The following is a 14032-nucleotide window of genomic DNA, read 5'->3' on the forward strand; positions in this document are numbered from 1 at the left end:
GAGAGGTTCAGACTGTTCTTGAGAAGGTAAGAGAGATAAAGAGGTCATACAGTCCAACTGGATGACCTATGGCTTGTTGAACAAGAGCACTCAACTCTGAGAATTAATTATTTACTCTCAGAATAGAGGAGGTCTCTCATGACTAAAGGATACTATACTTAGCATTCTTTTCCACAGCCTAATAATAAATAAATTGGGTAATGTTACAGAAGGGAGGTCCGCTTTCCAATCTGCTGATGACCCAAAGCTAGGATAGCCATTCTTTTGTCCACATGTTTGTCCATCTGTCCTTCTATCTGTCCATCATCCATCCAACTATCCATCCTCCATTAATCACCCATCCCTTCATCTCATTCATTTATCCATCTATTTCATTCCATTCATTCATCCATCCATCCGTCCATCATCCATTCATAACCCATCCCTCCATGCCATTCATTCATTCATCCATTCCGTTCTGTTCCATTCCATTCCTTCATGTATCCATGCATTCCATCCATCCATCCATCCATTTATTCTATCTATGCCGTCACTCACTCAAGAGACATTGGGCTTCTAGTATATGCTAGACTCTGTTCAAGACACTGGGGGATATAGAAGCGAACAAAACAGATAATGAAGAGATAGTGTCCTTACCCCCATGGAACTTACATTTTAGTGGGAGAAATAAACAACAAATAAGCAAATAAATAAATATGTTAGGAAGTAACATAAAGCTTTGAAGAAAAGTAGAGCTGGCTAAGATGAAGGGGAGTGATGAGAGCAGTGTTTAGATCGTGTGGTTCAGGGAACATCTCTCTGAGTAGAGACTTGAGGGAACCCAGCAGCTGGGTAGAGAAGAGCACCTGGACAGAGGAGTAGCAGGTGCCCAGGCCTTGAGGGGGAAGATGCTGGAGTGTGAGAGGCCAGGAGGCCAGTGCTGCTACAGTGGAGTCAGGGCAGGTGACACAAGATTTATTCCAGGTGTGATGGGAAGCCACTGGATAGTTTGTGGGGTGGGGGGCTATAACTCGACTCTGATGCAGAGGTCCAGTCTGGCTGCTGTGTGGCAGTAGATTGTAGGGCAAGAGTGGAAGCTGAGATACCAGTTTTTTGTTTTTTTCTAAAATGTTTTTACTGTGGTAAAATATACATAAAATGTACCATCTTAGACATTTTCAGCATACAGTTGAGTGGTATTAGATACATTCATAGTGTTGTGTGGCCATCACCACCATCCTCTCCATAATGCTTTCATCCTGTGAAACTTGAGACATCGGTTTTGAGGCTGTTGCAGTGGTGCTGGGGAGAGAGGATGGTGCTCAGAGGATGGAGCCACAGAGGCAAGGAGAAGTGGTTGGGTTGACAGAGCTGACGAGTGAGGGGGAAGGGCATAAAGGAGGACCTCAGCACTTTGGACCATCAAATTAGGAGACAGGGATTCAGTGGGGAACTCACCACGAGACAACCTAAAGGCTGGCAGTAGGAAGAGGGGTTAGTCTGGCTTTGCATTGTATTTCTCTGGAGTGCAGGACTAGGGCAGTGGGTTGGACCTTGAGGGGTATTGCAGGTGGGAGGTAGAAGAGCATTAGTGGTGCTGAAACCTGCACACTTTCGAGCCAGAGTGCCTTGGTCCAGGTGCCTGCCCCACCTCTCACAGTATGGCCTGGGACAGGCAACCTCTCTATGCTTCAGTTTCCTCATCTGTAAAACAGACCTAATTTTCTACTTCATAGGGCTGTGGAGAGGATTGAGTTAATTCGGTTAACTCAGTTCACTCAACTAACTCAATTGTAAAGTGCTGAAAAGCATGTGTGGCATGTAGTAACATGCTCAATACATGATTATTGCTACCTGGAGGCGGTCCCAGAATAATGCCCTGGATTATGATGCTTTCAAATGTCCCGGATATGAAGTTCCAGATTATGATGCTTTCAAAAGGTGCACTGGCTCCTCCTGAGACCATTGTACTCCCACCATTGGACAGGCTCTGCACCTGCTGGGGGACTGGGCAGGCTGTGGAGGGATCTTCCCACTCTGCGAAGTGGGTGTAGCTGATGGCCCCCAGAAGCCCCAGCCTCCAGCTCTCCACACTCTCTTCAGCCCCTTCTGTGATATGTCTCGCTCTTAATCCTTTTTGCTTTAAGAAAACTCTTCTTTGCCCTTTTACATCTTCTGTTGACATTTAAAATTCCTTCCCTTTGTTCTGACCTTATTGAATAGAGAGAATAATTTCTTGGAATTCTCTGTATAATGAATGTTCAGGTACTTACAGATGCTGATCGAGTTTCTCCTCAACCTTTCCTTCGAGAGACCTTGCATCATTTGGTGTAGAAACACTTTAGGAAGCACTTAGGAAGATGGTGTAAAATGAAAATGCTGCTGCTGTTCTTGCTGTTGCTGCAAATGTGAGCCCTTTGTAACCCAGATATCAGCTTGGGTACCCTGCCCTTAGAGATGCAAATGAAATTGGCTCAAACTCCCATACCATGTATCCTACAAACCCTGAAGTGTTCCCAGGTTCTCTGCAAATTTTTGTGAAGCTGGTGGTGGTGGTGTTCAGTGGCTCACCCACAGAATAAATACTCTGATCCCCTCACTCTCCTAAACATTCCTACCAGAAGGCTGGGTGTGGAGAAGATTTTGACTGAGGTAATGGGGTAATGGAGTATGTGTATGGCAGGTGTGAGGGTGGAGGTGAGGAGGTGGGGTGAAGTGTTACTTTTTAATTACTGCAAAACAGATGCTTAAAATTGAAAATTATGTTTGGCTTCCAGTAATGAAGCAGTAGTTCTGGCAGACTAACCCTCCCACAGCTAACAACTATAAACTGTACAACAGCAACAACAACAAAACTACCTGAAGGTATTGGAGAGCAAAAAAAAGCAGGCAGAGACTGGACAGACGTCTACCCTCCAAAGAAGGAAATGGTACTGGATGAGTTTCTGACTTTTATGATTTTGTCTGTTTGTTTTGCCTAAGCATAGGCTCCAGTCTGTGCCAGACAGGCTGCTAAAAATTTGTATAGAAAATCTGTAGTGTTACTGGCTTGAAGAACCAGAGGACAGAGTTTGGGGTAACCACAGCAGCTGGAAAGTGGCTATAAACTCTACCCAAATCTTTGAATGCAGACTCTAAGCAGCTCAACTAAGGCAAAGAGAACTGAATAGAAATTTCTGCTGCTGCACACCGCAAGGGAAACAGAGTTTGAAATTTGAGTAGAGCCAGGTTAGCTGCGTGTTTTTTTTTTTAAATCAATATTCTTCAGAGGAGCATAAAAGAATTTAGAGATAACATACATTTTGTAATGTTCAGTATTCCACCCAAAATTCCTAGATAAAGCAAGAAACAGGAAGAGGGGGCCTATATTCAAGAGAAAGGCCATCAAAGGAGCTTATTGCCAAGATGATCCCAATGTTGAAATTAGCAGACAAGTATTTTAAAACAGTTATTATAGATGTGCTGAAGGACACAAAGGAAAATATCCTCGCAACAAGTAAAACAACGGGGAATCTCAGTAGAGAAATAGAAGCTACAAGAAAAACAAGTGTTAAATTCTGGAACTGAAAAATACAGTATCTGAAATGAATAATTCACCATTTCGATTCCATAACAGAGGGAAATGACAGAGCCAGTGGACTTGGAGATAGATCAACAGAAAGTATTCAGCCTTAAAACAGAGAAAAATGATGGAGGAGAAGAAGGACAGATACTCAGAGAACTGTGGACAATATCAGAAAATCTATTATACAAGTAATTGAGCTCCAGAAGAGAGGAGGGAGAGAATGGGGAAGAAAAAAATATTTTCAATAAATAATATCAGGAAATGCCCCATATTTGGTGAGTTTCTTTTTTAAAAGAAAAAAAAAAATCCCAAACATGTAAATTGCAAACAGGACAAATACAAAGAAAACCACACCTAGGCATATGGTAGTCAAACCAAAGATGAAGAGAAAATCTTGAAAGCAGTCGGAGAAAAATGAGTGTCATGTGGAGGAGAATAATCATGTGAAAAACTACTCACTCTTCACCAGAAATAGTGGAGTCTAGAGACAATGGAATGGTATCTTTAAAGATAGAAAACTAAAAATGGTATCTTTAAAGTTCATACTTATAGTGAATGAGATCAGTTTGTAGATCACTGCTGGCCTTCTTGTTATCTATGACACAGTGGCTCACCCACAAAACAAATATTTGGGTCTCCTCACTCTCCTAAATATTCCTATCAGGAGGCTGGGTGTGGGGAAGATTTGACTGAAATGGAGTAATGGAGTATGTGTATGGCAGGTATGAGGTGGAGGTGAGGAGGTGGGGTATCTTTGATGGCATCTTTAAAGATAGGAAACTAGGAACATGTCAACTCATGATTCTGTATCCTTCAAGAATGAATGTGAAGCCAGGCATGGTGGTGCATGCCTGTAATCCCAGCTACTTGCGAGGATGAGGTGGGAGGATCACTTGAAGCCAGGAGTTCAAGACCAGTCTGGGCAATGTAGTGAGACCTTGTCTCAAAAAATTAGGTAGGCATGGTGACATGCACCTGTAGTCCCAGCCACTCAGGCTGAGACGGGAGGATTGCTTGAGCCCAGGAGTTCAAGGCTGCAGTGAGCTGTGATTGTGCCACCCAGGCTGGAGTACTCAGCCTCCTGAATTTACTGTGTCTAGTATCCAAATAAAGATTACAAAACATGCAAAGAAGTAAAAAAAATATGAACCATGATGAGAAGAAAAATCAGTCAATAGATACAGATCCAGAAATGGCACAGATGATACAATGAGTAGACAAGAACTGTTCAACCAACTATTATAAACATATTACATATGTGCAAAAAGGTAGAGACTAGCATGAGCTTATTAAGAAGAGACATGGGCGATACAAAAAAGATCCAAACTGGACTTCTAGAGATGAAACAAAGTCTTCAGTGAAAAACACAGTACATGGAATTAACAGCAGATCAGAAACTATAAAAGAGGTTAGCGAACTTGAAGTCATAGAAGCTATCCAAAGTGAAATACAGGGAACAAAAAGCTTGGGGGAAAAATGAACAGATCATCAGTGAGCTGTGGGACAACTTCAGGTTCACCCAATATATGTGAAAGTGGAGTCCTCAAAGAAGGGTAGAACAGAAAAAATATTTAAAGAAATAATGGCTGAAACTTTTCTAAATTTGATGAAAATCATAAACCCATAGATTCAAGAATCTCAGTGAACCCCTGGCACAGGAAACATGAAGAAAAAAGTTCACCAAGGTATATTATAATGAAGTTTCTTTTCTTTTCTTTTCTTTTTTTTTGAGACGGAGTCGCACTCTGTCTCCCAGGCTGAAATGCAGTGGTGTGATCTCGGGTCACTGCAACCTCCGCCTCCCAGATTCAAGCGAATCTTCTGCCTAAGCCCCCAGGTAGCTGGGATTACAGTTGCCTGTCACCACGCCTAGCTAATTTGTATTTTTAATAGAGACAGGGTTTCACCATATAGGCCAGGCTGGTCTCGAACCTCTGACCTCAAGTGATACACCCACCTTGGCCTCCCAAAGTGCTGGGATTACAGGCGTGAGCCACCGCACTTGGCCTGAAATTTCTTATAACTACTGTTAAGGGGAAAAAAACTTAAAAGTAACCAGAAGGGGGAACAAGGCACATTACATACAGAGGAGCAAAGACGAGAGTGACCTGAACTTCTCATTGGAAATACTGCCAGAAGACAGTGGAACACCGTTTGAAAGCACTGAAAGGAAAAGCCAAAACCAAAACCACTGTCAACCCCAAATTTAATATCCAGTGAAATATCTTTTAAAAAAGAAAGGCAGATTACTTTTTCAGGCATTTTAAAACCGAAGTGATTTCGCCGTCAGCAAACTTGCGCTATAAGACATGTTAATAAAGGGAGTCCTTGACACAGAAGGAAAATGATGCTAGAGAGAAATCTACATTTGCAGAGAGGAATAATGAGCACTAGAAATGGTAAATATGTGGGAAAATGTAAGATGTTTTTTGTTCTTATTTAAAAATCACTTTCAATGATGATTGACTGTTTAGAGTAAAAACATAATAATGTGCCGTTTGTAACATATGTAGATGTAAAATACACAATAACAATAGCACAAAGGCTAGGATGGAGGAGATTGTGTATATTATTGTTACAGTTCTCATAGGGGAAGTGATAATATTACTTGCAAGTAGTCTGTGATAAGCTAAAGATGTATGCTGTAAACCTTAAAGCAACTAGTAATAAAACAGATTTATGGTTATAAGTCTAACAATGGGAGATAAAATAACAAAAGATATTCAATGCAAAAGAAGGCAAAAAAATTAGGAAAGAGGGAACAAGGAACAGATGGGATAAAAACAAATAACAAGATTTAAACCCAAACCATATCAATTATGGATGAAATGGTCTACCCATCCCATTTGAAAGACAAAGATTGTTAGGTTGGATAAAAAGTCAAGACTCAGTGCCTATAAGAAACCCACTTTATAAAGACACAAAAAGTTAAATATAAAGGGATAGAAAAAGATATATCATACTAATAGTAATAAAAGAAAGCTGGAGTTAACATAGACAAGAGCAGATTTCAGAGCAAAGAATAGTACCAGGATAAAGAGACTCATAACAACAAGGGGGTCAGTTCATCAAAGGACATAACATTAGGTGTGTAATGTCAGCTGCTTAAACATTAGGTGCATAAATATTTATATAAATAATAAGCGAGCTCTAAAATACATGAAGCAATACTGACAGAAGCTGAATGGAGAAATAGTAAAATCCACAATTATAGTTGGAGATTTCAACACCCCGCTCTCAATAATCAATAGATCAAGTAGACAGAAAATCAGTTAAGATTTATAAGACTGGAACAACACTGTCACCCAATTTGGCTTAATTGACATTTATGGAACACTCCATGTAACAACAGCAGAATATACATTCTTTTCAATTGCCCATGGAATGTCCACCAAGAGAGACCATATAAAACAAGTCTCAGTGTATCTAAAAAGATTGGAATCATTCAAAGTATATTCTCTGACTACTATGGGATTAAATTAAAAATCAGTAACAAAAGTATCTGGACAATTTCTAAATATTTGGAAACTAACACACTTCTAAATAGCCCGTGGGTCAATGAAGAAACAGATAGAGACATTAGAAAGTATTTGGAATGGAATGCAAATGAAAACACAATATAAAAAATTTGTGCAGTGTTACTAGAAGAGTTCTCAGATAGTAATTTATAGCACTAAATATCTATATTAGTTGGGAAGAAATTTTCAAATCTGTGATCTCAGCTTCTACCTTAAGACACCAGAAAAAGAAAAGCAAATTCAACCCAAATAAGCCAATAAAAATAAGAGCAGAAATAACTGAAATAGCAAATAGAAAAATAGTAGAGGAAAATCAGTGAAACAAAAAGTTGGTTCTTTGAGACCAATGAAAGGTATATTTAGCCTGACTCATGGGAGATAACAGAGAAAAATTGCAAATTACTAATATTAGGAATGAGAGAAGTGACCTAATTATAGATACTGCAGACATTTGAAAGACACTAAGGTAATGTTATGACCACCTTTATGCCAATGAATTCTACAACTTAGATGATATGGAAGAGTTCCTTGAAAGACGCAAACAATAAAAGCTCATTCAAGAAGAAATAGATAACCCCCAAAGCCTCATGTTTATTTAAAAAATTGAATTCATGATTAAAAACCTTCCCACAAAGAAAACTCCAGTTGAATACTCGCTAGTGAATTGTACCACTTAAGAAATTATACCAATTTATCATGGGATGAATTGTACCTACCCCAACTCCAAATTTATATTTTGAAATCTTAACCCCCAGTGCCTCAAAAGGTAGCTTTATTTGGAGATGGGGTCATGACTGAGGTAATCAAGTCAAAATGAGGTCATTAGGGGTGCATCCTATCCAATTCTCCCTCTATGCATATCTATCTCCGAATCTCCCCTTTCTATAAGGGAGAAGCTATGTGAATACAAAGACAGCCATCTACAAGTCAAGGAGAGAGGTCTGGAACAGATTCTTCCTTCAGAGCCCTCAGAAGGAACCAACCCTGCCAACAGCTTGATTTCAGACTTCTAGCTTCTGGAACTGTGAGACAACAAAATTCTGTTGTTTAAGGCACTCAGTTTATGGTACTCTAGTCATGGCAGCCCTGGGAAATGGATATATATATATATCCGTATATGTGTGTGTGTGTATATATATATATATATATATATATATATATATATATATATATATACACATACACATACACACACATATACACACAAACTCTTCTAGAATAGCAAAGAAGGGGGACACTTCCCAACTCATTCTATGAGGCCATGATTACCCTGGTATCAAACCAAGAAAAGGACATCATAAGAGAAGAAAGCAAGAGACCAATATCTCTCATGAACATAGATACAAAATTTTTTTTTTTTTTTTTTGAGACGGAGTCTCGCTCTGTCGCCCAGGCTGGAGTGCAGTGGCGCGATCTCGGCTTACTGCAAGCTCCACCTCCTGGGTTCATGCCATTCTCCTGCCTCAGCCTCCTGAGTAACTGGGACTACAGGCGCCCGCCACCACGCCCTGCTAATTTTTTGTATTTTTAGTAGAGACGGGGTTTCACTGCGTTAGCCAGGATGGTCTTGATCTCCTGACCACATGATCCGCCTGCCTCGGCCTCCCAAAGTGCTGGGATTACAGGTGTGAGCCACCGCACCCGGCTGATACAAAATTTTTAAATAAAATTTTAGCAAATCAATCCAACTACATATATGTGCATATCATGACCAAGGAGGATTTGTCCCAGGAATGTAAGCTTGCCTTAACATTTGAAAATCAATGTAACTCAGCATTAATGACTGAACTATAATGTTAATGACTAATTATGAAAGAAAAACCATATGAACATTTCAATAGATGCTGAAAGAGCTTTTGACAATATCCAACATTCATTAGTGATTAAAAAAAAACAAACTTCCAGCAAACTAGAAATAGAAGAGAACTCCTTTAAACTGATAAGAGGCACCAAAAAAAAACATTAGCTCTAATGTCGTTCTTAACTGTGTAAGACTGACCACCTTCCCAGTGAGATCAGGAATAGGCAAGGGTGTCACGGAGAGTTATTTAGCATTCTACTGGAGATTGCCAGTGTGATAAGACAAGACAAGAAAAGGATCCAGATTGGAAAGGAGGAAGTAAAACTGCCTTTATGTGCAGATAACATGATCATCTATATGCAATTCCAGGCTGCGCACAGTGGCTCATGCTGTAATCCAGCCTTTGGGAAGCTGTAGCTGGAGGATCATTTGAGGCCAGGAGTTTGAGACCAGCTTGGGCAACATAGTGAGACCCCAGCTCTACAAAAATAAAAATAAAAACATTTAGAAGGGTGATGTGTGCCTGCAGTCCCAGCTCCTCGGAAGGCTGAGGTGGGAGGATTGCTTGAGCCCAGGAGTTCAAAGTTTTACAGTGAACTGTGATCGCACCACTTCACTCCAGCCTGGGTAACAGAGCGAGACCCTGACTTGGAAAGAAAAGAAAAGAAAAGAAAATTCCACTCTGTCTATTTTAAAAAGCTTCTAGTACTAAAAAGTGAGTTTAGTAAGGTTGCAGAATCCAAGGTCAATATCCAAAATTAATTGTATTTCTACATACGAGAAATCAACAATCTGAAAATAAAAGTTAAAAATACCATTTATATTATCAAACTATGAAATAATTAGAGATAAATTTGACAAAAGACATTCAAGATCTTTTCATTTAAAAAACCACAAACTGTTCCTTAGGGAAATTAAAGAAGACCTAAATAAATGGAGAGAGACATCCTGTTCATGGATTGGGAGACTCAATATTATTAAGGTGTTTCCCCAGATATTTTAGAATCAGTGCAACTCCAGCTGTAGAACACAAACATCATGAAGGGCTTCTCAAAGATTTGGCAAATGGGCTGATCCCATCCGTTTGGTAAAGGGTTAGGCACTGGTTGCACAGGCTTGTGCTGAACTGTGTGAGTTTGAGAATGGTCTCTAAAATTATTTTCTGGGGCAACAGGGACTGTCAAGAGGTGGGATGAGGCCAGGAGCCAGGCCTGACTAGGAGGGTCTCCGAGATAAGAGTGAGTAGGATAGGGCCACGAGGGAGGCGAAGGCTTACCCAGAAGTTTGACAGCCAGGTGATGGGGTTATGGATGACTCTTATTTTCGTTGTATTTTTCTGTTTTTTTTTGTTTGTTTTGTTTGTTTTTTTTTTTGGGCAGAGCACACATATTTCCAATGAAATCAGAGAAACAACAATCCTATAGCTGTTTCCTTTGGGATTTTGTTTTTGCACTTCTGTATAGTTTGAATAATTTACAAGAAGACTGTATTTTTTGTAACCAAAAACGAAAGGCAGGCAGGCAGAAAGAACATGACCTGTGGCTAGATCAATACTTGTTCAATCTTTGGAGACTGTGAGGAACTCCTGGTGGGGCCATGTCTTGGTAACGAGGACACAGAAACTGTGGTAAATATGGCACCGACAAGTGACTGCACCATATTTTACTTGTCATATTCTTTTCAAATCTGTTACTTTTGTCGGACACAAAGAATGTCTCTAGTTAATACATGAAATCATCTTGGAACATTTGACAGAAGATTTAACTCCTTAATTCTATGAAGGCAGTTTGGGATCTCTAATTACTTAATTGAAAAAAGCACGCACTTCAGTCTGCTGCAATGTTGGGGAATTAATCTTTAAAACCTGACAGTGAACATTAAATTCAATTAAGGAGACCAATTGGCAAAGATTCTTCCCTCCTTCACCCTGGATAGCTTTGAGAGGTAGCTGACTGGTCTGCATTGATTCAGATGCTGTCGTTGTCTGTGCATCTACTAGGAGAGCCAAGTGTGCGTTTTTCACTTCAGGGGGAGCTTGTCAGACGATTTACAGATTGATGGATCTCCTTACATGTTTCCGTGGCTGATTTGGGAGTTCCCCTGGACAAGAATTCAAACATTCCAGTTTGCTGCTTTTGGCCTTGGACTTCATAGAGTTCAAGTTTTTTGTAATTTCTTCTTTCTTGCATGAGACCACTATGTTGCCCAAGCTGGTTCTTCCTCCTCCCTCCGTCCTCTCCTCCTCTCCATCCTCTCTTCCCCTCCCTTCTCTTCTCTTCTTCCCCCTTCCTCTCTGCACCCCCCTTCCTTTTTCCCTTCTCTTTCCCTCTCCCCGCTTCCTCTCCCCCGCTCCTTCCTTTTTCCCTTCTCCCCTTCTCTTCTCTCCCCCTTCCTCTCCCCCTTGCTCCTTCCTTTTTCCCTTCTCCCCTTCTCTTCTCTCCCCCTTCCTCTCCCCCTTGCTCCTTCCTTTTTCCCTTCTCTTCTTCTTTCACCCCTTCCTCTCCCCCTGCTCCTTCCTTCCTTTTTCCCTTCTCTTTTCCTCCCTTTCCGTTTCCCATCCTGTGTTTCTTTTTTCTCTCCTCTCCCCAATTCCTCCATCACTCCTTCTCTCCCTTCCTTTTTTCTTCTGCTCCTCCTCCTCTCCGTCTTGGTTAATTTAACTTTTTATTTTAAATATGAAATGTTTTAAACATACTCAAAATTATAGAAGGTAACAGATACCTATACACCTGTCACTGAGATTGTCAAATCCCCAGGTGTGTCTGTTCTCATTCTCAGCGGACCCACCCATCAGCATTTGACATGGTGACCAGCCTCTTTGTCAAAACACTCTCTTCTCTACGCTTCCAGGACTTTCCTCTTCTGTTTTTTTCCCACACTTCACTGGCCTCTTCTTAGACTCCTTTCTGGTTTCTCTCTCTCCTCCCCTGGTTCCCAGCCTGTGAAACTTGGAGGCCTGGGGCTGAGATGTGGGACTCCTCTCTGTCCTGTCTGCACTTGCTCCCTAGGAGAGCTCATCCAGCTCAAGGCTGCGGCACAATTTCCACAATGGCATCCACAGCTCAGCCTCTACCCTGGGCCTCTCTTTTGAACATCACACTGGTACGGGAATGAGTCTTTATACTGTCTGCTGTCTGTCATTCAAAACTGAGCTCCAGGTCCTCCTTCCCTCAAACTTACCCCTTCTGCAGGCTGACCCATCCCTGCAACTCCACCCCTTTCAGTGCTTGGGCCAGGAACTGCGAATGTGTCCTGGGCTTTTCCCTTGCCCTCATATCCTACCTCCAGTCCAGGGAAGTCCTGTTGGTTCTACCCTCCAAGGCAGGCCACTTCTCTACTGCCTCCCACTGTTCCAAGCCATTTCCTCTCTCCCTGGATTCTTGCAGAAGCCTCCTGATTGTCTTCCTTCATCTCTCTTGCCCTTCATTCTCCTCCCTGCATGGCAGCTGGAGTGGTCCTACTGCAGTGGAACCAGCCCTCATTCCCCTCCGTTCCACCTGCAGAACCCTGGGATGCCCCAACGGCTTGTGGTTTTCCGACTTCATCCCTTTCTTACCACCTCCCTGCCAACCCCCAGCCTTGCTCACTTCTCTAGCTGCAGTGGCCCTTCTTGCTGTTGCTTGACCATGCCAGGCATACTCCTGTCACTGCCTGGAAGCTTCTTCCCTCAATTTCTACATAGCTGGCTTTCTCACCCCTTCAGGACTTCCTCCAAAGTCACCTCCTCAGAGAGGTCCTCCCTGGCCACCATTTCAGCCCCTTCCCTTGACCTTATAGAGCCCTTTCCTGGTTACTTTTTAATACTTCAGTCTTCACCACTGCCTTAAGGACTGTGGATTTTTATTTGTTCAGTGTCTGTCTCCCTCACTAGAATATAAACTCTTTGAAGGCAGAGATTTTTGTCTTATTTGTTTCCTGTTACACAATGCCTGGCTAATAGCAGGTCCTCAGGAAATCTTTGTTGAATGAATGAATAAATGAATGAGTTTCAGAGGAAACATTTGGGCATGTTTTCTTCGGAGAGCATTTTCCATCTCTCCCTCTCCTCATCTCCCACACCCCATCGCATCAACCCAGTGCATTTCATCTCCCCCACCCCATCTCATCTCCCCTACCTCATCTCCCCTCCCCATCTCATCCTCCCCTACCCCATCTCATCTCCCCTACTCCATCTCATCTCATCTCATCTCATCTCATCTCATCTCATCTCATCTCATCTCATCTCATCTCATCTCATCTTCTTTTACCCCATCTGCTCTCCCCTATGCCATCTACTCTTTCCTACCCCATCTACTCTCCCCTACCCCATCTCATCTCCTTTACCTCATTTCATCTCCTCTACCCGATCTGCTCTCCTCTACCCCATCTCAAGTCCCCTACTCCATCTCCTCTCCCCTACCCCATCTCATCTCCCCTGCCTTATCTACTCTCCCCTACATGTTCCACCCTCTCTTTGGAAGAGCTGCTGCTTAGTGTTCATAGCTTTTCCCTCTAGCCCTGCCCCTTTCCCTCCCTTCCTAGGAGTGATGGCCCTCCTCATGCATGTTTTTATAGCCTGGCTACAAATTCACGTATAAATGAGATCTGCTTTTTTTTTTCTTTGTGTGTGTGTGTGTATTTTTAAAAACTGTGGCAGAATAATACACAGCATAAAATTGACCATCTTCACCGCTATTAAGCATACAGGTCAGTGGCATTAAGCACATTCACAGTGTTGTGCAGTCTGCACCCCATCTGTCTGCAGAACTCTTTATCTTGGAAAACTGAAACTCTGTCCCCATTAAACAACTCCCCATTCCCCCTCCCCCAGCCCTGGCCACCACCATTCTACTTTCTATCTATCTCTATGATTTTGACTACTCTGGGTACCTCATATAAGTGCAGTTATATAGTATTTGTCCTTATGTGTCTGGCTTATTTTACTTAGCATAATATCTTCAAGTTTCATCCATGTTGTAGCAAGTGCCAAGATTTCTTTCCATTCTAAGGCTGAATACTATTCCACTGTATGGATAGAACACATTTTTACAATTCATTCATCCATCCATAGACACTTGGATTACTCCCCTCTTTTGGCTATTATTAATAATGCTGCTATGAACATGGATGTACAGTATCTTTTTGAGACCCTGGTTTCAGCTTTTTGGGCATTTACCCAGAAGTGGAATG

The 14032-nt window shown here is 41.7% G+C and overlaps 1 protein-coding gene and 1 long non-coding RNA gene across 8 annotated transcripts in view; both read left to right on the top strand.

Annotated features, from left to right (window-relative positions):
• Positions 1-14032, top strand: part of WDR25 (WD repeat domain 25) — a 153819-nt gene that overhangs the window by 75218 nt on the left and 64569 nt on the right. The gene's annotated exons all lie outside the window — the stretch shown is intronic.
• On the top strand, positions 447-7629 carry LOC124903383 (uncharacterized). Its single transcript, XR_007064336.1, has 2 exons — positions 447-2631; positions 2757-7629. It is a non-coding gene; the product is annotated as an uncharacterized LOC124903383 (long non-coding RNA).

The sequence above is a fragment of the Homo sapiens genome, chromosome 14 (genome assembly GCF_000001405.40).
Source record: "Homo sapiens chromosome 14, GRCh38.p14 Primary Assembly".
Lineage (NCBI taxonomy): Eukaryota > Metazoa > Chordata > Mammalia > Primates > Hominidae > Homo > Homo sapiens.